We start from the raw sequence: 24,531 nt of genomic DNA, 5'->3' as shown, positions 1-24,531 counted from the left end.
CCATGCCCCACTTCTATTGCTGCCTCATGTACCTGTCTAGACAGAGACCGAAACTTCCAAAAAGTTACTGGCAGGAAATCAACTGTAGTGGTATCATGACAACAACCATTGAAGTGATTACACAACTGAAGGTAAATGTCAAACATTTTTCATGAAAGAAAAGATATATAGTGTAAAAGAATGTATAATGGTCTTGGAGTAAGATTATTATGAATTCCTCATCTCACACTCTGCTTTCTTTAAAAGCTATAGTTTCATTTTTTTACTTCTTCTCAGTTACGTAAAAATAGTTTAAGACTAGGAAATCTGTTAATGTAATATTAATACATCACAATATTGGGCCCAGTTTAAAAAGCTCTCGATTATTTTTAAGTTGCCTAAAAGATGTTTCATAGGATTAAATATTCAATCCCAATAAAAACTCCTACAAAATTAGGAAAAGAAGGATGTTTTCCTTAATGCTTTTCCTTAATATAGTCATGAAAACTACGTTAAACTGACAGCCAGCAGCAGGATAATAGCAAAATACTTTCAGTATTTCCATTTAAATTGGGAAAATTATAAGAATACCTAGTTGTCATTATTATTTAACATGGCTATATAAATTCTAGCCAATGCAATAACACTAGAAGAAAGAAATAAGAGCTGTAATTCCTGTAAAGTAGGAGATAAGATTATCATGTGTGTGTAATTTTATAACAATAGAGCTTTACCTTATATCACATACTAAAATAAACTTAGACAGATTAGACAGTTACATGTAAAAATGAAACAAAAACATTAATGGGAGATATGGGTGAAAATTAATGGATTTTGGACAAGAAAAAGATTTGGAAAGATAAAAGCAATCACAAAAGAAGGTTTGCTTTCTCTAATTAAACAAAGAAAACTAAAAGGCAAATGACAAATTGAGCAAATTATTTTTTAATGGTTGTGACAGTAAAAAAAGTTGTCGTTCTTGTTATTTAAAGAAGGTTTTAAAATTATGACAAGAACACCCACTCTCCACAGAATGGCAAGGAAATGAACTAATAATTTAAGATAAGGTCTTCACATTGAGAACCACTTCACAATCATAACATTATGTATAACATTATAAATATTAGTCAGATGTTCTGTGTGATTACTGTGTGGCAGGCATTATATGAGGCCCTTTACATACTGCTTCATTGATTCCTCACAATAGCCTTAATAAGTAATATTACATCCATTTTATAGATGAGGCAATTCAGGTTTACAAAGACTAAATAACTTATTCAAGTAAACAGTAAAGAAAGAATTGACAATTTTGTTTGAGACTGCACCCTCTCTATTTCTCCAATTTGAAAGAAATAGCTAAAAAATTACTGAAAAGGCAGAAAATATAAGAATTTTACACTTCTGGACATCTAAAAAACTCATAAAATTATGTGGTAAGTTACATTCTTATGTTTGGGAAAAATATGTGCAATCTACATGAAATAACAATTGTTTTCTTTAATGCATAAAAGCTCTTCCAAAGCAACAAGAAGTGGTCTAAGACCAGTAGAAAAAAGAAGCAAGTACCATGAACAGGCAATACATAATTATACATAAAAAGCCACAAATATAAAACTATATGAACTGGTAATCTAAGAAATGTAATTCAAAGAATGATGAAATACCACTTCTCAAACGTGACATTTTCAAATAATAAAAAAATAATAATTAGTAGTAACATGGGTAAGATTTCATGCCAATAAGGATATGTTTAAATTAATTATGGTATTGACTTGAGATTGAATATGTATTAGGATTAAAATCATTTTTCAGGAGGGAAGGAGAATGGGAAAATGTTGGGTAAAGGGTATAAAATTTCAATTAGACAGGATGAACAAGTTCTGGGATCTATTATACAGCATGGGAACTACAGTTAATAATAACGTGTTGTATACTTGAAAATTGCCAAGAGATTATATCTCAAATGTTCTCATCATTAAAACGTAAGTATGTGAGGTAATGGATAAGCTAGCTTGATTTAATCATTTCACAATGTATACATATATCAAAACATCACACTGCACACCAAAAATATATACACTTTTTATTTGTCAATTATATCTTAATAAAGCTAGGAGAAAATCATTTTTCAAATGACAGCTACTGACAAAAAAATAGCCTGACTCTTATCCATTTAGACTGTGATACTAGTTTTGTGTATCAGTATAAAACATATATTCTGACACATAAATGATTTTTAAAGAAATACAGTATAATGTCATAAATTGTAATATAGACGATTTTAAATTATCAATCTGTTTCACTGTTCTCCAAATTTTCTCAATACAATGTGTTTGCTTTTTAACAGAAATAGTTTTCAAATTTTGTTATAAACATAATGGTTTACTCACTGTCAGTAAGGGCACTTAAAATCTATAAAGTTCTCAACCGGGCATGGCGGCTGTAATCCCAGCACTTTGGGAGGCCAGGCAGGTGGATCACCTGAGGTCAGGAGTTTGAGACCAGCCTGGCCAACATGGTGAAATTTAGTAATCTCTACTAAAAATACAAAAATTAGCCAGGCAATGGTGGCAGTGCCTGTAGTCCCAGCTACTTGGGAGGCTAAGGCAGGAGAATCGCTTGAACCTTGGAGGTGAAGGTTGCAGTGAGCCAAGATGGTGCCTCTGCACTCCAGCCTGGGCAACAGAGCGAGACTCTATCTCCAAAAAAAAAAAAAAAAACTATAAAGTTCTCTTAGAATTTTACAAAGCAACTTCATAAGTATTATCTCATTTAATTGATACTACAGCTCTGTGAGACAGTCATTGGCACCACTGTACAGAAGAAATAAACTTCTCTTAAAGTGATCACGTTTCAAGGACCAGGCAGAGGGAAGGGTCACTTCAGTTGTAAGAATAAGGGAGTCCTTAAAAACAAAACTTTTTATTATGAAAATGTCCTGCTGACAATTTTAAACAATGTCAGTGTTAAACACTTCACCTTGAAAAAGTCTTTTGTTGGCCTCGATGCTAATTGCTGCATGTTAAGTTTTCATGGTTTGTATAAGCTTCAAATTAGCATCTTACGTGTCCTTTAATAAGCATTGTATTCTACATGGAAGTTAATTCAGAGGCCCCCAACCCACATACTTGACTAAAGAGTCCTTTTCAAGAGTAAGTTTGTAAAGCTGCCCCATCTTCCCCATGAGACTACATATTCTTGAGTTAAACAGTCAATTTGAAATAAACAATAACACCATGATATATAAAAATGAGCAAACAAAATTTGAGATACTTTAGTTCTTTTATTCTTATGTGACCACTTGAAGTTTTTATTTGTGTTGAAAAATTAAAACAGTGAAACAATACAAACTGCAAGGTATAATGCTTGAGTTTGGTAAATGCAAATTCTGTTTTGCAGATGAAATATTTTTACTAAATTTTAATACTTTAAAAGGTATTCCTGTGTTTAATTATTAAATGCTTTAAAACTAAAGAAGGAATGAGGACAATAATAATTACTGTGTATTATTACATGACTATTACTTAAAGTAAATTTTCATATAAAAGTGAAGGTATTAAAAAATGATACATTTTGGGTATCAAATGCAGTAGGTACATCTCTAGTCTTATTATAAAGTTACATTATATTCTAGGGGAAAAAATCTTTAAATTTGTCAAATCTGTGCATTACAACTTTGCTAAATAAAGAATACATACCAACTGTTTTCCTTATCTTTCTGACATGTTCCAAATCAAGGAGGTCTTACTTTGTTTGCATTTTTAACTTTATGGAAATGTAACAGTAAGATTTTAGAGAGCATCAGACCATTTATTTCAATTAGAAGCAGTAATGAGATATCTTTAAACTATTAGATGTCACTTAGTCTTTATGTAAGACAGATTGTATGTTTAATGCCTTTTGGCATGATCCACAGTCATTGGCCCTTAGTAGTTTTTATATTGACTGAAAATGGGGACTCCCTCACTACTCTCAGGCCTCCCCAAGTCCAAATCAGTGGCTGATCTGAAACAGCATTTTTTCATAAAACTTAGAAAATCACTGATAAAAACCTTTCAACTCAATACTAGTAGTATTAATAGTAATAACAAGCCTTTCCCATAGCCAGAAATGCAATGTTGTTTCTAGCTCTGCACACGCTATAAACTTGAGAAGCTGTGTGTCATCAATTATGGTTCCCAGTGTACTTTATTCCACCCCGGACAGTGTTCTTTCATCTTCAGGGTGTCTTCACCTCAGGATGGCCCTTCTTTATTTCTGGGACCAGCCCTCATCAAGTCCACGTCATCTGACTCGCCTTACTTCAGGAAAATTGGTTTCAGAACATATTTCTGGTGAACTAGAATCTGAGCACTTGAACAGAATCTGAAAAGAATTGCATGTTTATCCATATATATAGTTCTTATTTCTACCTTATTTTTCATGGGTATGCCTAAGATAACTACTGAAGAACAGACAAAGTTCATGAGGGCAGCTTTAATATTGCTACCCCTGCCTTTAGCACCTTTTTATTCACTCAAGAGTGGGGAGGAAAGAATGAGTACAGCTATGATCACGTTAAGACTTGATAAGGTGGTAGTTTCGTAGAGGGCTTTCTAAGAACAGAAGGACCAGCAAATGAAGAGCCCTAAAAACACCGTTACACTATCCAAATCCTGATTAATCCATCGAGTGCTGCACAGTTTACTGATATCCGGGCACGATTTACCTAATTCCTCTCCTTTTGGGCCACAGACACCTTTACACTAAAATTCTATCTGGAGAGACCATGACAGGTGCCTTGCTCTTTGCAAATACATGGGGAATTGACTTTCGTGTTTTGAAAAGCATTTTGGAGGAATTTGCATATTTATAAACATGGATACCCACTAAGAGCATTTTTAAAGTGTTTAAAACTAGGGAAAATGAGTATAAGTATCATAAAATCTGAAAACCATTCCATAAGTCATACCAAAAAAAAAAAACACCTCATTATTTTGTTGCCAAGATTACATTTTCCATTTCACACTTTACTGAATGTCATTACTCTTAACTGCCTGATTTGACTCCAGATTACTTTAGGTGTTTACCCCAAACCAGATCTATCTGATAAGAATGAAGGCTTGCCACCACTGAAGATACTCCAAAGAATGTTTTGTGACATCAGAGTTCTAGAAATGTTCTAAGAAACAGCAACACAGAAACAGCAACACTGTGATCTTCCAAGTGACTATTTTCAAGATTACTACCTAATTTTGAATATCTAAATTTTGAAATGTTATTTTTAAAAAAATCAGTTTTGTTATTGCATCCTCCGGTACACAGAAATGACTGGGTATCATTTCCACTAAAAATCATCAAACACCCCTATCATTAGGAATAAGATCTGGGTCAGCAGACCCTTCTGTACACAGCTGACACATGGCCACTACGATGGAAGCTGAGATGTCCAAGCAAACCCAGGTACAGAAGAGCTACCACAGGTGAGCGCTTACATAAGCCAGGCTGTTCATCTGGCAAATGTTTCTTTTTCCCTCAACACCTGTTAGTAAAGAACACCAGAAGCAGGTTACTTTCAACTGGAAGGCCAGCAATACAGCTTCACTGTCCTACCTCTCCAGCACTATGTCATGATTTAGCCAGCAGGGGCCTTGATTGCCCTTCTCTTCCACAAGACATCATTGTTGTCCATTACATTGATGACATTATGCTGTTTGGATCTAGTGATTGAAATGAAGTAATTACTTTAGACTTACTTTGCATGTCAGAAGGTGGAAAATAAACCTGACAAAAAATCAGGGACTTTCTACCTCAGTGAAAACTGCAGGGGTCCAGTGACATGGGGCAAATCAAGATATCCCTTCTAAGATGAAGAATAAGTTGTTGCATATGGCTTTTCCTACAACCAAGAAGGACACATAATATCCGGTGAGCCTCTTTGAATTTTGAAAGCAACATATTCTTCATTTGGGTATGCTACAAAAACCTATTTACTGAGTGACCCCAAAGCTGCTAATTTTGACTGGAGCCAGAAAAAAAGAAGGTTCTGCAGCAGGTCCAGGCTGCCGTGCAAGCTGCTCTGCGACTTGGGCCATATGATCCGGCAGATCCAATGGTACTTGAAGTAACAGTGGCAGACATGGATGCTGTTTAAAGCCTTTGCTGGGCCTTAGAGCTGACTCACAGTGCAGGCCTCTAGGGTTTTTGTGAAAGACCCTGACAGCACCTTAATCTTGGACTTATAGCCTCCAGAACTGTAAAGAATAAATTTCTATTGTTTTAGACACCTAGTTTGTGGCACTTTTTATGGCAGTTCTAGGATACATAGAGACGTCGATCTAATAAGTTCATGAGTGTTAGCTCATCTCATCTCCATAACAACCCTATGTGGTAATCACTAGTTTTGCCCATATTTCACAGAAGAGCCAACAGTGACCTAGTATGGAGCAGAGCTGGGACTCGAACTCTGATGTCTGGTTCTGAGCCTGTTGCGCTGAACCACTACACTACAGTATCAGCAGAAAGCAGTACCATTCTTACTTAAATGAATTCCATGGGCTGCCATAGCTCCCAGAAGCCATATTTTCTTAGTCGGGGAGATGGGCACTGATAGATGTGCACTGATATGGTTCTCAGCACATTGCTCTTGAGGACAGGTATTAAGCATAGAAGAGTAGGTGACTTGGTGTATGATTTGAGGAATGCCTACAATACCTCTTAATACCTAATATTTCACAGTAACTAATTTATTTTGTTAATGGTGGTCAGCCATCTAGCCCAGCCTGGACTTGCATGAGCCTGAGAATCAGCACCTCCTTCAATTTTGTGTCCTTGGTGTCATCTCACTTGCTTTACCCTAGTCCTGGCCATGCTGCAGAGAGAGGTCTTCTTTTAAAATGTCCTACAGGAGTAGCATTTTCATTCCCAGTTCTTCTTCATTAACCCTTGAGGAATAAATATTTTGATTCAAAATTTCATCATTCATTATCTTTACTTGGGTTTTAATCAGAGTTGATTTTTTTAAACATTTGAAATAAACTCAAGTGCAACATCCTCCAATCCTTCATGTTTGCAGAAATAACATTCAACTTTGATATAGTGCAACTATTATACATCAGGCATTAGGTTAGGCCTCCACATACAAGCAGAGACCATGTCTGTCTAGTTCCTTGCAATTGTGATCTTAAAGCCTAGCACATGGGCATGTGCTTAGTATTTGTTAAGTGGAAGGATGGATGGATAGATGGATAAATGGATGAATGGATGGATGGATAAATGGAAGGATAGATGAATGGAGAGATGGATGGGTAAAGGGAAGGATGGATGGATGAATGGGTAGATGGATGGTTAAATGGAAGGATGAATGGATGAATGAATAAATGAATGGATGGATGGATGGATGGATGGATGGATGGATGGATGGATGGTTGGATGGAAGACGGATGGATAAATGGAAGAATGGATGGACAGATTAATAAATCGATGGATGGATGGGTGGACAGGCAGTTGGCTGATGGTCCACTTATGTGGAAACTCCACAGGCAGTAAACTGTGAGGAGTACACAAAGGCAGAAGTCCCCACACCATCAAAGCTCTTGTCTCCTTCCTGCCCCCACTTTTTTCCACAGTGTTCCAATCAGGCACTGAAAGCAAAAAAAAAAAAAAAAAAAAAAAAAAAAAAACCTGGAAGGATATAGGTTGAGGGTATTTGAGGACACTGATTGAGTTGGAGAAAGCTGAAGTTTTCCAGCTTCCAATCTGTCCCTAGTAATGTCACGAACGCAGAAGGAATTCTTGGGAGGAGGAATATTTATTGCCATTTCAGCTTCTGCCAACACACAAGGCAAAACTCCAAAGGACACAAGCACATCTTTGCCAATCTCTCTCTTTCCTTTCTAAATATTTCACCCTGGCCCCAGTGACAGAAACCTTCCTACTACCTCTGTCTCTTCAAATTCCTTCATTATAGGCCATCTCTCCAGAATATCCATAAATAGCCTTATTAGCATGAGATTCTTGTTACCTCATAAAAGTCACACGAAGGGTATGAATGAAGATGAACACTCCTACGAAAGTATTAAATAATGTTATACTAACTCAAACAATTTTAATTGGTACATGTGGCAAGGAGCAACTTTTCAGTGAAAAAATCTAGATGCCTCCCCCACACTATTTACCCTAGAGCCTGCCTTTTGCTTTGACAAGTCTGTTAGAAAATAAAATATATTTACAGCCCCATACCCTTCACATCTGCCACAACCCTATAAGCACTGCTAGACATGATGAGATTCAACAAAACGTCAGCACAACCTGTAACCTACAGCACGAATATGTGAATGGTGAGCGTACCTTCTTAATGTGCATACTTAGAATCCTATACATTCCATCATGTAATGTTTATGACCATGTCTAAACATTACATGATGGAATGTATAGGATCCCACTAGATCACAACATCTAACATTTCTATATTAATACAATGTTCTCCTTAAACCTCTAATCCTTCCATCTCCTCCCTCACTGGTTCCACTCAGTCAGAAAGAGAAATGAGAGCTCTTTGGTGTAACACCTCTAAAGGTCCCAGTCTCCGGACCCCTTCTTCTTCCCTCCCCTTGACCTGGAGGAGAAGCTACCCACCCGCCAGAAGCAGAAGCGAATGCTCCCTTCACTTATGCGCTCTGGGCACAATTCCCTCGCACCTCCTCCAGGACCCTGGTCTCCTGGGTTGTCCCCCAACATCTCCTTTTCTCTGGCTACTTACCATTCACACTCAGATATACTCCAGATTCTCTCATCCTAAACACAAACAAATCCACAAAACCCTTCCCTTGACAACAAAGTCTCCCTTCCTCCTCCGGCTGTAACCTTAGTTCTGTCATCTCATCAAACTTGGTTTCAAAGTTGTGGGTGATCCCTGTCTGCACTCTCACTGGTCCCATCATCCAAATCTGCTGTGGCAAAGGTCCTCGACGGCATGGTTACCACTTCCCATGAAGTGATTCTGTTCTTGTCCTACCTGGCCATTATCTGACTTCCTGACCTGTCCCTCCTCCTTGAAACATCACTGCTTCCAGTGGCTTCCAGAACACCCCTTCCTTTTGCTTACCACCTACCCTCTGCTTACCCTTGTCAATCTCTCCACACTATTGACCCTAGAGCTTACCTTTTGCTTTGACAAGTCTGCTAGAAAATAAAACATACTTACAGCCTCCCTTAGAGCTTCCTCTTCCTCTGGCCGCCTCTGAAATCCTGCTGTTCCCCAGGGCTCCTCCCTCTACTGCTCATCTGTAGTCACAGCTGCAGTGTGCTGTGTGTGATGTAGGGACATTCCACAGGCATCTCACACTCCGTATGTTTCAACCTGAAGGCAATATCTTTCTCGCCCAAACTCGCTGTTCTCCTGGGTCTCCTACATCACATCACAATCTTAAACCAGGAATCTGCATGTCATTCCAACCTCTCTCCCCTCCCACCCTGTCATCCAAACAATCATTTAAGTTCTGTCAAGTCTACTTCCATTGCTGCTGTCCTACTGTCATAAGTGGCCCATGCCACTAGTGTCTCTCTCCTGACACTGCAACAGTCTCCTAAGTGTTTGGCTTGCCTCTGGTCAGGATGTGTCAATAGCTCTCTTCTGCTCACAAGATATACTCCAAATTCTTTAACATGACTTCTAGGCCACCCAAGACCAGCTGCCACCTGCCTCTCCATCTCCTGCCACTTTCTCCAGGCACTCAGTGCTTTAACCAGACAGAATTCCTTGCCATTCCTGTTGATGCCAAACTTCCTCCCCTTCCTGGCCTTTGCACACACTGTTCTCTGCTGAGAACACTCTTTCCCTTAAGACCCTGCTCCTCTTCAGGCTAAATATGCTCAACCGTCAGTACTCAGGTCATAGGCCAGTTCTGGAAAAACTGAGATGGTGCCCAATCCCTGCAAACTGGGTTGGATGCACCTGTTCATGGTATCATGTACTTCTCATCAAATCAATCGTCACACATTATCATTATTGTTCATTCCATTTTAAGTCTTCCCTACTAGATGCTAAGTTCCCAGAGGGCAGAGCTTTCACATCCTGCCAACCACAGTAACCCAGAGTCCAACAGAAGGCCTGGCATAGAGAAGCTTGGTAAAAAATTATTTTATCCCCATTTCACAAAGGTAGAAATCACAGCAGTCAGAGAAGCTACATACAGGGCAGAAGAGGAACTCTTCCAATGATGTTTGATTTAAAGCCTGGTGCTCTCTCTAAGCTCCTGTTTTTTCAAAGCTATAGAGTTCCCTTTGGAAAACAAAAGAAAATTTACTTTTTATTTACGTTTTAACTCACTGATCCCTAAACCGCATAACTTTGACCATTACTGGATCAAATCCTACAATCCTTTCAGGTGATTCTTGGGAAGACCCCTCAACTTACTTTCCTCTGTAAGAGACTCACTCTCCCTATCTTGATAATCTTTGGCATAATTCACCTTCAAGCCATCTAAAATTCTCAGCAAAACAAAATCACAGGCATCATTGATGCAAATGACTGCAAAGGAGACTGAAAAGCCCACTCCACCAAGCAGAATTCCAAATGCACATCAAAAATACTACACATTCTGGCGGGGTGCGGTGGCTCACTTGTAATCCCAGCACTCTGGGAGGCCAAGGTGGCTGGATCACCTGAGGCCAGGAGTTCGAGATGAGCCTGGCCAACATGGTGAAACCCCGTCTCTACTAAAACTACAAAACTTAGCCGGGCGTGGTGGCAGGTGCCTGTAATCCCAGGTACTACTTGGGAGGCTGAGGCAGGAGAATTGCTTGAACCCAGGAGGCAGAAGTTGCAGTGAGCCGAGATCTGGCACTGCACTCCAGCCTGGGCAACAGAATGAGACTCCATCTCAAACAAACAAACAAAAAATACTATATATTCTGATCATGACAAAGCCAAGGAAAGTGGAGAAATTAGAATGTGGATCACACAAGAAAAGAAAAAGTTCTAGCACTGCTCATGAAGAAACTAGCTACATCAGAAAACAAATTCTTCAATAATTTAAAATCCAAAACTTAAGAGGCAATGCACATATAAGCAACAAATCCAGAATGATCAACGTGATCTGGTACTAAACATTTGTATGCTCAGTTTGCTATATATGTATATTAATTATATGTGTACATTAATTATATTTTAATTCCTATTTCAGTGTGTGTTACAATAAAGTTTGTCAGTGCCAGTTTTTTTTTTTTTTGGTCCCCAACTCAAGGATCAATGAGGGAGATAATGAAAACACTTCTGTTTCTATTTTATTCTTCCATCAGTTTGAGGAGAATTAAATATGTATAGAAAGTGAATAGGAGCATATCTTTGTTATCAAGCATTATTGCTATGGGATTTATTTTAAAGCAAAGTTGACTGAAGTAATTATTTACATGGAAAGTAAATAGTATTGCAGTGCAACTTGGCATTTTCTTATGTAAACTGCACTTATGCAAATGCACTACCATAGCACCCACTGATCTAGGCAGGAGACCAGAGTTCAAAGCCTATGTGCTGACATTTCTGATGACGTTTCATCCCCTTAACATCCTTTCCAGCCTCTATGTTTGATATGTAGGTCTGCCTTTTGCTTTTTAAGAATCAGAACTAAAATGTGTCACTTCAAGCTTACGCTTCTCACCTCCAGCCCACGGTGTCCCTGCTCTCCCCGCCCCATTACACAGCACTTTTCCTGAAGAATAAGTAAGCTCTAGTGACACACTTTGCTCTCTGCATTCCTTTCTTGCCAGGACTTGAACTGTGCCCTTATCAAGTGCCCAGGTACTCACATTCTCTCAGACTAAGCCCACCTTACTTCCCGGGATGCTAATAACAAACATCTAACTGGCTTTGATCTCCTTTGACCTGCTGTGTCCAGGACCAAGCCTTTATACTGATGACCAGATCTCTCTATCCACACCAGACATACATGGAACTCCTACATACAGGCAACTGCCTGGGAAAAGTGTTCTCTCCTTTCCTGCTTTGAGCACACATCAGTGGCACAGAGTGGGTAACTGGAACACGTGTTTAATTTGAAGCACTCTGTCCTCCCAACCTGCCTTCTTTGTATCCTCCTTAAAAAACCAATTAACATGGTCAAGCAGGTGATCTGAATTGCCTATGGTACGTGCAAGGTAGTAGATAATATTAAACCCCTTATTCCCATCTACCTTAGGTATTGTTATCTACTCTTAACAAAGCTTTCCCTTTAACTTCCTTAACTCCAGGCATTACAGCCTTTACTTAAGATTCTACAGCAATACTACCAGGGCCCAAGATACCCACACAACACTGAGATTATCCACATTTCCTATTAGGGAGTTGGGTTTCTGTGGCCCACCAGCTGAGTATGTTTGCCATCATTTTCTCCCTGGGCTCTTCTAAGTCTTGATTTTTAAGCTGAGGTGCTCATATTCCTGTGCACCTTCTGCAATCCTGAGCGTTACCTGTGCTGTCTACTTCTCTATCAAGTCAGGACCCTCTACTCCGACAGCCGCCTGAACTAGAAACCTAAACGGAACAGACTCGCAGCTAGAAGCAGAGCTCTGGTGTGAAGTACCATTTTCTGTTAATTACCCAGCTCCCACTCCACATTTCGGAACTTCCAGGTTCCTTCCCTGAGGCCCCCGGTGCAGAGGATTCCCCTTTAGTTCACTTGTGCTCGGTCCTCCTCTCCCAAATGCAGGTCCACTCACACTTCCTGGAAGTCACAGTTGTACCTACTTCATCTTATCTGGCTTAATAATAAACCAAACTCGTGACAGCCCAGACCTCTGAAGCACATCCTGTGGCCCGATTATCTCTGATGTCCTTAGCACCTTATTGCCTCCAGTATACACAAGTTTAGGAAATCATCTCAAGTGGACTGACACGTGCTTCCTTCACTTTTCCTCTTAAAATGCTCATGTGAATGGTAAGCTTCTCAAATTTGCAGCAGCGCTGGGATTTTTTATGGAATTGAGAAAGGCAGGGCCTGACTTTCCACTCTTTAAAGAGTTCACCGATTTCCCTTAGGAGTTTCTCAAGACTCAAAAAAGGAAAAGAAAGAGAAAAAGGAAGGTAGAAAGCAATGTAGGTATTAACCATTTTTTCTGGTACTCTTCAAACCCAAAACTACTATAGAGGGCGTTAGGAATTCCCCCTGGCTACCAGGTGAAGCAGCGCGAGTCCGATTCCTGACAGGCGAGCACCAGAGAGGATGCGGAGTTTTGGTCGTTAGTTTAGAGATAACATCTGGATGCGGGGGCTTGTCTTACCAACCACTGGAGACACCAGGAAGGACGAAATAATGGGCTAATACAGAAAGAACATAGAAAAGGGTCCCAGATACCCAAAGCCTCCTGGCCTCTCCGTCGTCACCTGGAATGGGTTGCAAAGCCTTGGCACAGGCAGCTGGGCTGTGTCCCCTCCCGCCGCGCGCCCCGGGCCGCCCGGACGGCACCTCCTTACCTTGCGGGAGTACGGGGGCTTGCTCAGGTGGATGCCGTCACGGACGAGCTTATCCCTGATCATGATCTTCAGCTTCAGTTTGGGGTAGCTCACCAGCTCCCTGCTGCGGGGGGCGGTCGTGTGGCCGCGAGAGTCCCCGCGGGTGCCCTGGGCCGGGCCGCCGCACGGCTCCCCCCGGCGGCCGGTGGGGACGGCGTCGGCGGGCGGCCCGGGGGGCGCCGGCTGCGGCTCAAGCGTGAAGTAGAGGCCGGCGGCGTTGGCGTCCTGCTCCCGCAGCCGGCGCACGGCCTCCAGGATACGGCGGCGGTGCGCGGGCGCCAGCACCCCGATGGCATCCAGGTCCGGGTCCCCGATCTGCTTGCACACCTCCAGGTCATCGTAGCCGTTATCCACGAAGGACTCCGCGTACTGCGGAAGCTGCAGCGCTTTGAGCCACTCGTAAACTATGTTGGTGCACATGGTGGGACCGGGAACCCCGCCGCCGAGCACCTTCCCAGCGCCCAAATGGCACGGGCGGCACCAGTTCTTGGAACTTTTAATCCTCTCCTCCAAGGGGAAAAGGGTATCGCAGTAAAGTTTTCCTTTTAAAGGAAAGGCTCGGGCAGGAGACGGAAAACCATCAGAAGAAGCCTGAGGAAGGGAGAAGCGAACAAGCAGCAAAGTGAATTCCCCAAGCAGCAGCGGAGCTCGCAGGCACTGGCTGCTGGGCTGAGCAAGGCTCCGCGCCGCCCCTGGATGCGCCGCCGACGCTGCCGCCGCGGGGAGGGGCGCGCGACTGGCGCGGGAGGGGGCGGAGACGGGAGGGGCCGGGGCACACCCCTCGGACCTGCGCCGGGTCAGCGCTGCGCAGTGCCGCCCGCGAGTTTTCCCAGCCGGGACGGTCCGGCGGCTGCGCGCCGCATCTCGCGCTCTGGCAGCCGCCGCCGCCGCTGGCGCGCTCCGCGCCGCGAGGCGACTTCTCCACGCAGACCCGCGGCCGCTGGGAGCGCCTAGTCTTCGCGAGTGTCAGTCACTGTAGTCCTCCCGGCGGGAAGCCGGTGGCTTCTACGCTGCTGGGCTCCGTTGGCTGCCCTGGGTTGCTTTTCACATTTCTGTTTAATCTGACTCTTCTACCCGTGGAAGTCTGTGCTCACTTCTTCCCGACCCTGCCGGACTCCAGCTTCCGCGCCCGCTGGCAGCCCAAGGACACGTCCCGCCGCCCCACGGCGCTGGGGACGCTGCGGGGTTCAGTGTCCCTTCCTTCCGGATCCGCGTTTGAATCCCCCTTCCTCGGATCCCGTACGCAGCCCAGAGCCCGGCGATCTGACTTCTTCCGTGGGCGGCCACTCAGTGACCCGAGCGGCGGCGTTTTGGCCCGGAGGGTGGGCGCAACGTGGGGACCGCCCGGGTCCAGCCGGCTTGCGCGCCGCCCCTCCTCGCTGCAGCTGGGCACGTTGGGCGGCAGGAGAGGCTGCTGTCTTCCTGGCTCTCCCTTCCTAAGCTCCCGGGTCTGCGAAAGTTTGGGGTGGGTTGTACTTTCTCCTAGGTCAGTGTGTCCCACCCGGTACCCCACCCTCCTTTCTGCCCGGCCCCTCCCCCTCGTCGGCGCTATGCTTTCTCTCCGGGCCCCCCACCTAGTATACTGCACGGGCTCCCGGGGTGGCTTTGCCCCCGGGGACACTGCCAGGCGTTCGGTCCTGGAGCCCGGGAATCCGAGCCTATCCTCTCGCTCCCGCCCGGGGATCGCGTGAAAATCAATAGAGCACCACCCAGCTCGTGTTGGAAGGGACGCTCAGACATCTCCGCCCACGGCATTTTCCCTCTAGGAGGTAACAAAATCAATCGAGTTTCCCCATCATGCCAATGTCTGAGCAGCCTCTTGGGACTGGGGACTCGAGTGGCAGGTGGAACAGACCAAGCGCCTGGGCCCCATTTCCCGGTGTCTGACCTCTTCTTGGGACTAAGGGAAGTGAGGGACGGCGGGGGCAGGTACTGTCTCCTCTCTTTCCGCAGAAGGGCGATTCAGCTTCGCACCTGAGCTGTTTAAGGACCAGATCTGACCTTTTTTTCTGAAGATTGCCCGTGGGGCGTGCCAGTCTCTCGCCCGACCTTGGGAAGTGGACAAGGAGTGATTTCAGAGTCGTTTCTCGACCTGCTGTGTGTTTGGCATTTGGGTGGGTGGTTAGGTGGGCCCTCTTATCCTAAACCAAGAGAGCTTAACCCCCTCTTGGGACACGAACCCCTTAAAGAATCAGATGACAGCTTCTGTCCTTTTGCCCAGGAAAATACCCGACATAGGCGCACCCAAAACGTTCCCTACAGTCGCAGGGGGGTTCTGGTTTCCCAAACCCCGGGACTCACGAATCTCAAATTAAGGACAGCTGGCAGAAAGGACTGTCTGCTTAGGGGGAGGGGAGAGACCAACGCGGAGAGCCGGTGGAGCTGCTTGTGGCCCCAAACTTGGGTCACCCGGGACGCCCTTTCCGGAACCGAGTTAAGGTCTCGGACCCTGGTAGGTGGCGAAGCTCCTGGGCGCTGGGATGCTGGAAGGGCGCAGCCCTCCCCGCCCCGCGCGGGCCGCCGCCTCTCCCTCGCCAAAGCGGACTCACAGTGCCCCCTCGCGTCCGCGCGTTGACCCATTTTAAGGCGTTGTCCCTGTCCCCAAACTCATTCTATTCAGCAGAAGAAAGTGGGCTTTATGGCTTTATACTGGTTCCCCTTTGAAGCACAAATGTTTTTGTCACGTTTATCTTTATATCCCAATACTATCTCAGAAGGACCTTTGATTTTTTTTTAAAGAAAATATTTCAGCAGTTTGAATGATGCTGCTAAGAAACAGAAATTATCAGCAAATATTTATTGGGAAATTACTGTATGCCAGGCATCTATTCACAGATCTGTACACATATGGTAAATAGTAATATTATCCCATATCTTACAGAAGAAGAGATTGAGACATCAAAACTAATTTGCCAACGATCTCACTGTTACGGATGGAGCAAGGGGTTCGAATTCTGGGGGGATAAATTTAACATCAGCCTTCAGCCGTCCAGCTACTCACCTTCGAATCACAGTCCCCAGCCTGTGCTGTGCTGTGCAACATGTAGGGGGAAAAAATGGGCAGGTTGTATGGGGTGAGGATTTTTGTTTGTTTGGGGGTTTTTTGTTTGTTTGTTTTGGGACTGGAAAACTTAAAGCTCAGGAGTTTTTTTGTCTTTTTTTCTTTCTTTCTTTCTTTCTTTTTTTCTTTTCTTTTCTTTTCTTTTTTTTTTTTTTTTTTCTTTTTAACAGAGTCTCACTTTGTCGCCCAGGCTGGAGTGCAGTGGCATGATCTCGGCTCACTACCACCTTCGCCTCCTGGGTTCAAGCAATTCTCCTGCCTCAGCCTCCTGAGTAACTGGGACTACAGGCGCCTGCCACCACGCCCAGCTAATTTTTGTATTTTTAGTAGAAACGGGATTTCGTCATGTTATCCAGGCTGGTCTGGAACTCCTGACCTCAGGTGATCCGCCCGCCTCTGCCTCCCAAAGTGCTGGGATAACAGGCATGAGCCACCGCGCCCGGCCTATAGCTCAAGAGTTTTGTTGTGTTGTTTTCTTTCCCAAGTTGTATGAAAAGTCCAACAGCACGAGTCTGTAGTTCTTTGCCTTCTTATATGTGGCCTTTTCCCCTCTGGGGGCTTAAACATATTCATCTTGTCTTATAAATCCTCAGCGAAGGCAGTGAGTATTTTTATTTCCGTTTTACGATTAGGGATACTGGTTGGGGGAAGACGAATGACTTGCCCAAGGTCACACAGTCAATCAGGACACAGACGAGAACATGCTTGCCCTATCAAAGTGCTTCCCTGACAGGCAGCAGCGATCCTCCTTTATTTATGTGCAAAGCACTCTCCAATTAGGAAATAAAGCATTCTGGTGCTCTCTTTGGAAGGGAAGCCCTTTATAAATTCATCACTTGTTAATCAGTCATAAATAAAACCTACTCACTTTTGACCTCTCAGGAAACCTGCTTTCTGGAGACTTCACTAGTCTGAGCTATAGAGACTTTTTTTTCCCAGGTTTCCCTTCTATTTCTCTTGTACACTTCTACACTTACTCGAGTCCTCTTTGGGTGAACCATTGAGGCTTGTATCTTTCCACTGCTTGCATTAGCATATTGAACCTTTTAATAGATTTCATTCTAGAGGCTACTACGCTAAAATGTGTCTATCTCTGTGGAGACTAATGGCTAAAGTTCAAAGTGACACTGGCAAGAATGGCTAATTTTAAGATTTAGAACTGTAGCCTTTTAGAACTAGAGGTCATTGGAGGTCATACCCAGCATCCAGATTTGCATGGAGGAAGCCAAGGCCCAGAGAGGTCAAGTTCCTTACCTAAAGTTACACAGCTGGTTCATGACAGAACTGGGACAAGAACCCAGATCCGCTTCCTCACATTGCTCTTTGCAATGTACTGCATTACCTCATTTTTGCTGCAAGCTCTTGGCTACTGTCAAAATCATTCATTTACTCATCAAATGTTTATTAAGTAGGCACTTCAGTGCCAGGCACTGAAGCAAAAAAAGAAGGGTTTTCCTTCATTAATTGGAATGGGAGGGACTTCAGCATTTTAAATATGTAGAGAATAAATTGACAGCTTTTTCAAATATGTTAGTTCATGAATTGTAAAGATTACAAAGATACAAAGCAGTGTTTTCTTCTATCTGTAATATTTTCCAAATTCTGTGATCATATTAGCCAAAATTCAAAATTAAACTGTATTTGAAATCCAGACAAAAATGTACTTTGAAAATGCAAGTGGCTACTCTGCTCCTAGTCACAGCGTTAGAACACACAATTTACTCAGAAAACATGGTCAACTACCTCTAATTTTGTGTTACTTTTATCATTGCTTTGTTAGAGTTATATAAAAATTTTCAAAATATTGATCATGCTGATTATTATTTAATATGTTTGGGGCCACACTTACTTTTGCAGAGGGGATGTCTTGCCTAATGAAAATCAATGGGAAAATAGGTTATGGAGAAAGTTTCTTTTTAGGCACCATTTTAGAACTGTTTTGCAATGGTAATCACTATGGCAAAATGCCTGTTGATCCTTTCCATGTAATTAATTAATGATAATTATATTCAGGTTTTAAATTCTAAATATCAGAAAACAGCTTTTCTACTTTGCTCAGTAACTTGATTTAAGGATATAGAGTGAAAAATAATTTGTTATGGAATTTTCTTGGTGCCGTCTAAGGTTTCAGACTATTTTAGAAGATAAATGCTCACACCTAGTGCATGTAAAAATTAAATTCCATTAACATCTATTAAATGTCAGTCCCCAGGGTGTCTAGCCTTGTAAAAGTCAAAGATATATAATATTAATCTTAAAATGCAAAATATGTCTTGCCTCTGCTTAAACCAGGAGCTAAAAAGCATCTAGAAGGAGTGGATGCCATAGGGAGAAAAGAGAATAATGGGCTTGAGTGATGTAACAGGCAATCTCTTCTTCGGTGGCTGGGAGTGAGGTGCTGGGTTGGCAACTTAATTGGGGGCAGGCAGGGTGGGGGTGTCTCTTAATATGTCTGAGCTGTATACATTAGACTTGTGTGTGACAACACACATATGAAAGAAGGAAAGACAAGGAGCAGTGGGGAGTGCCAGCAGGATCCCATTAGATTATTCGTTGCTGTTATAACAGGCCTTTCTTTCTTTAAAGAAGGAACAAAGGGGGAGGAAATGCATGTTCAAGAAGTCATTCACTTAGAGGTCACTAACAAAAAGAGAGCCAAGCTACAGACTGTGTTTGTGACAGAAAATCAAATACGAACCATTTTTCAAAAATTTTATTCTCTCATCTTTGGTAATCCCCAAAAGTTCTACGTTTTAAAATGTACTCCAGAAGAGGAGGAAAAGGTTAATCTAGTGTCTTCTGAGGTAAAAATGATAGGTGCAGTATTTTGTTAGATAACAATGGGCAGCTCTTAGGAGTACCTTTATTTTATCATTCTAAATGAGCAAAGCTATTATAATTTAGCACCTAAATGTTAGGTTATGTAACCCCATACAAGTGAAATTATATTGGTCAATGCTATTTCAGACAAGTGCAAGTCATGTATATAATCACAACAATGAAATCACTCAATTTATGACCAATGCAAATTGACTAAACAACATTTTTCCCATCTGACAGTTTCTTCCCATTCTGGAGTTAGGACAAGCGATCCCATAGAGCCTGCTTCCTGAGACCTGCATGGCTACTGATGACTGAGAGGTGGTTGGTTTTCTCTCTTTAGGCAATGTAATTTTATGTATTTGTTTTAAAATTTTCAGTGCTTCTTGTCTGGTTTAAACTTGCTATTGGAATTTATACTTTATAACTCTTGAATTCTTAAATTATAAGAACCCAGCATAATTAGAGCTCTTAGTAACGCCTGAGATCTTGCCTTTTTGCAGCTTTGGAGCAAGGCAGTGTGGAGTGCATCCCAGTTTTGAAACTATCTCTGACCTTGGAGGCTATATATATATACATCGTCTCTTAGACCCTATTTATAAATGTGCAAATACAAGACGTAGGTGAGGCATCAGATGCCTACATCAGAAAAGCTCAGTTCCTAGAAATAATCCTGACAACCTGAAAGTAGGAGATGTTTTGAATATTCCCTCAAAACTTTTGTGCTTAACAGTTTCACAAAAGCCAAATTTCAGACCCTTTCTTGGAGCTGTTCAACTGTCTTGTCTTAGTGAGCCCAGATGCCCACAGCTTGGACCAGGGCCGTGGCTTGGGGTAGTATGCTCTCAGCCAGCATGCTGTGGCCTTAGAGGACTTGCTGGGGTCATAAGCAAGCAGAGAGGGTCTTCAGGGACCTGCCCAGAGAAGTAACATAGATGACATTTTCTTTATGCTTTACAATAGGATAAATTCCACGTTTCAGAAATGTAAAGATTAAGATGAAACAATATACTTAATTAAAAGGTAACATGGGTTTATTCCTCTATAATCCGAGTGGAGAGAACTTTCCTAATTTTGATTCAACTTCTTGAAGCAATGGGGAAAAACCTTGATACTTTTGATCATATAAATATGATAAACCTTTGCATGGGAACAAAAACCTCTGTTAGCAAAGTAAATAGACAACAGCTTGTCCTTGTGGGAAAATATTTAGAATTTATATGGTAACCATAGATTGGTATAGCTAATGCAGAAAAAGCATTAAAAATAGAGAAAATAAAAGGCCAGCAGGGCTATGGAAAGATGGGTCAGAGAGTTCTCAGAAAAAATAGACAAGCAAACAAATAGACCCTCATTTGAAATGATTCTCAAGTAGACTCAAAGTAAGAAAAATGCAGTTTAGGAGGCCAAGGTGGGAGGATCACCTGAGGCCAGGAGTTCGAGACCAACCTGAGCAACATAGCAAGACCTCATTTATATTGGAAAAAAAAAATGGCAAGCATGGTGGTGCATGCCTGTAGTCCCAACTACTGGGGAGGCTGAGGCAGGAGATCGCTTGAGCCCAGGAATTTGAGCTTGCAGTGAGCTATGATCACTCCGCTGCACTCCAGCCTGGGTGACAGAGCAAGACCCTATCTCAAAAAATAAAAAGAAGAAAAGAAAAATGCACACTCAAACTACACTGAAAGACTATTCCTACCTATTAGATTAGCACAAATCATAAGGTTTAGCAGGCAAGGTTGAGAGAACAAGCATTCTCATAAATTATGGGTAAAAATAAAGATAAAATGGTACAATCCCTCTGTTAGCCAAATAGCACTCATATGATTTAATTTAATAGAAACAGAATTGTTAATCAGGTATTGAAGAGTCTGAAAGATAAAGTAAACTCTGAAGTATACCAGATGTGGTAACTTTAGGAAGTGTTATATTGGTGCAAAAGTCATTGAAGTTTTTGCCATCGAAAGCAATGGATTATTAATTATCCTTAAAGGTTGGGGAAACAAAGGAAGAAGGTTGGGATTATTAGAATATAGAAACTTGGAAGAGGAGCCCTTCTGAGCTGGGACCCAGAATTCTGAAAAGGGAGTGCTTTCTGCTTGGTTAGGAGAAAGAACCCCATGAGGCTGGGCCCAGACCTCCAAGGAAGGGAAACCACCTGGACATACAGGAGCCCCGGGGGCCCCCACAGAGCAGAGGCTCAGACTTCTGAGCTGGGCTGCTGACTGGCTGGTGTGGATACTGAGAAGGTTCTAGGAATGTAGAAAATTGGAAACTGTAACCTACCCCTACTGGGTGAAAAACTGTGGCTTGGGTGATGCTGGCAGGAAGAGGAAACAAAGCAGAAAGCAGCCAGTCTCCTGGTCATTCTTTTTCCTGCTGTTCAGTCTACATTTTGCATGCTTTTGGAAAAACTCGATAGGGAGCCAGCTAGTAAAGCAGAAATATGTGTAGAGTCCTGGCCCCAGCTTCTCAAAGTGGAGGGTGTGGAGACAAAAGTAACTCCATCTTTGATGCTGATCTGCCATGCTAACGTCTGATTAATCCCAGTCCCGTGAATTCCTCCTGGTTTCCACTTTATGTACTGTCCCTAGTGAAAGAACAAGCCAACCTTGATGTTATTGCACAAATTATAGCTCTTATGCACATAGCATTCTTGCCTGTTCTGGAAAGTGCCTTTAATTATCTTGCTGGTGTACATATGCCCTTCCCCTATGGTATAGAAGCCTTGGGTCTGGGGAGTAACATTGTAGAGATCTACCTATCTTGCAGCTGCCCAAGACCATGCTTCTATCTGTAAGCTCCCCCAATAAAACACCCCAGACTGATAAACTGGATTTATTATATTTGCCTTGGTCTTTTCTTGCTTGACTCCTTTAATGTTTGGAGGTCATTTTGCACATACGGCCCTTTCACAGAACAGAGGATAAAATGGGAAGTATAGAAACGAGAAAAAAATAACTGAATACTCAGCACAATGCCTTTGGAGTGGGATTTGTCAATATCCAGCACATTTCATATGCATTTTCCCTTGGATTTAGCAATTCTACTTTTGGGACTCTATCCCAAAGATACACTAGCAAAAATTTTAAAAATAAGATAATAGTATGCACAAGACTATTCATCACAGCACTCTGTAACAGCTAAAGACTGGAACCAACCCAAATATCCATCAATAAAGGACTGATGGAATACACCATGGTACATCAACATAATAAAGTACTTGGCAACTGTTGAAAGAATTGAAGACTACTTCTATACACTAGAATGCAGTGATTTCCAGGATATATCACTACAGTTGACTCTTGAACAACACCAGTTTGTACTGCGCCAGTCTGCTTATACAAGGACTTTTTTCCACCTCTGCCACCCCTGAAACAGCAAGACCAACCCTTTTTTTCAGACTAATCAACATGAAGATGACAAAGGTTAAGACCTTTATGACAATTCACTTCCATTTAAGAAATAGTAAGTACATTTTCTCTTCCTTATGATTTTCTTAATAAGTTTCTTTTCTCCAGCTTGCTATTGTAAGAATATAGTATATAATACATATAACCTAGAAAATATGTGTTAATCTACTATTTATGTTGTCAGTAAGGCTTCCAGGCAACAGTAGGCTATTAGTAGTTACAGTAGTTACATTTCTGCAGACTAAAAAGTTTTACTTGGATTTTTGACCGCGTGAAGGTTGGCACTTATAGCCTCTGCATTCTTCAAGGTTTGGGGGGAAAAGCAAGATGGAGAAAAGTATATATATCATGCTACTCTTTATTTAAGGAGGAGGTAGGACTATATAATTAAAATAAAACAATGGAAGAAAAAACACTTAAGAAATGATTACCTAAAAAGGGGTAGGCAGAATAGAGTAGAGGGTTGGGGACAGGACCTAGACTTCTTTGAATATATATTTTGTGGATTTGACTGTGGAGCCATGGAAACGCTTTACATAATCGTAAAACAAAGTGAAATTTTAAAAAGCAACCTCGCAAAATTAGAAGTAAAATAAAACAAATGAACCTCTGTCTTAGAGTAGCGTGACCAAACTGAGAGGAGCTATTCCAAGAGACTTTTAAAAATAATAATTTGATTGTACATGCCTGATTGAGTTACTGATATGGATTGGCTCTTTGTCCCCATCCAAATCTCATCTTGAATTGTAATCCAAATTGTAATTCGCAGGTGTTGAGGGAGGGATGTGGTGGGAGGTGATTGGATTATAGGGATGGTTTCCCCCATGCTGTTCTCCTGATAGTGAGTGAGTTCTCACAAGATTTGGTTGTTTGATAAGTGTCTAGCACTTCCCCCCTCTCATTTGCTCTCCTGTGGCCATGTGAAGAAGGTGCCTGCTTCCTCTTCTGCCATGACTGTAAGTTTCCTGAGGCCTCCTGAGCCATGCAGAACTGTGAATCAATTAAACCTCCTTTGTTTGTAATTTATCCAGTCTCAGGTAGTATCTTCATAACAGTGTGAAAATGGACTAATACAGTTACCCTGAGGAAAAAAGAACAGCAATAAATCATAAACTATTTTCAGTAACGTGTTGGCAGGAGTATGAGAATTATACTGAGATTGTTATGTGTATAATACAGTATAAAAAAATGAATCCTTGTTAGTGTTGTAGAGATCCAAGATTTTTGGCATAATTGAAAGGAGATACAGTTGTAAGATCAATGAGTTTAAATAAATAGTCTATAATCCTAAATTTTAATTTGAAATATCAGTATGAGCTCATAATGTATTTTTCTCTTTTTAAAAAACCCATAATTTTTAGCTCTATGAAAAGATTTAGAGCAATGGTTGACCCAATTGTAATGAGATCTCTAGCATCCAAATTTATTCTTGAATACTGTTTCCCAGTAAAAGGAACTAGGGCTCCTTGAAGAAATGCCTGATTCTAGGTTTAAAATCCTGTTTGTCAGCAACAGCAGTAAATGAACAAAATGGACCTGGAAATTTTTTTCATATCAGAAAGCAAGGAATTTATCAAAGATGATTAAGATCATGCCAAAAAAAAATCAGTGGCCAACCTGAATAAGTTCTCATCAGGCAAAGATGGAATAATTTGAGCATCACCAATAAGGATGACAATTGAATTGAGTTGAAACCCATCACATATGTTTAAACTCATAAGCTCATCTAATATTGTAATAAAACCTTAATTGGTAACCTTTAAAGAATG

The 24,531-nt window shown here is 41.9% G+C and overlaps 1 protein-coding gene across 2 annotated transcripts in view, besides 2 other annotated features; it reads right to left on the bottom strand.

Moving 5' to 3' along the window:
- Positions 1-14,127, bottom strand: part of SAMD5 (sterile alpha motif domain containing 5) — a 445,991-nt gene extending 431,864 nt beyond the window's left edge. For both annotated transcript variants that reach the window (XM_017010850.2, NM_001030060.3), the window contains exon 1: positions 13,430-14,127. In XM_017010850.2, the coding sequence (XP_016866339.1) occupies positions 13,430-13,888 (459 nt within the window). In that variant the 5' untranslated portion in view covers positions 13,889-14,127. The remainder of the gene's footprint in view (positions 1-13,429) is intronic.
- Positions 15,926-15,975: a silencer, noted in NCBI's record as "silent region_17650". NCBI's record gives its function as "represses an Ori minimal core promoter by ATAC-STARR-seq in GM12878 lymphoblastoid cells {active_cell/tissue: GM12878}" and the evidence as "EXISTENCE:reporter gene assay evidence [ECO:0000049][PMID:35858748]".
- Positions 18,735-19,264: an enhancer, noted in NCBI's record as "OCT4-NANOG hESC enhancer chr6:147824689-147825218 (GRCh37/hg19 assembly coordinates)". NCBI's record gives its function as "activates a minimal SCP1, AML or CMV promoter by ChIP-STARR-seq in naive H9 embryonic stem cells {active_cell/tissue: H9 hESC(naive)}" and the evidence as "EXISTENCE:reporter gene assay evidence [ECO:0000049][PMID:30033119]".

The sequence above is a fragment of the Homo sapiens genome, chromosome 6 (genome assembly GCF_000001405.40).
Source record: "Homo sapiens chromosome 6, GRCh38.p14 Primary Assembly".
NCBI classification, from domain to species: Eukaryota; Metazoa; Chordata; class Mammalia; order Primates; family Hominidae; genus Homo; species Homo sapiens.
The sequence above is the reverse complement of the archived record's forward strand: the minus strand, read 5'-3'. Positions and strand labels throughout refer to the sequence as shown.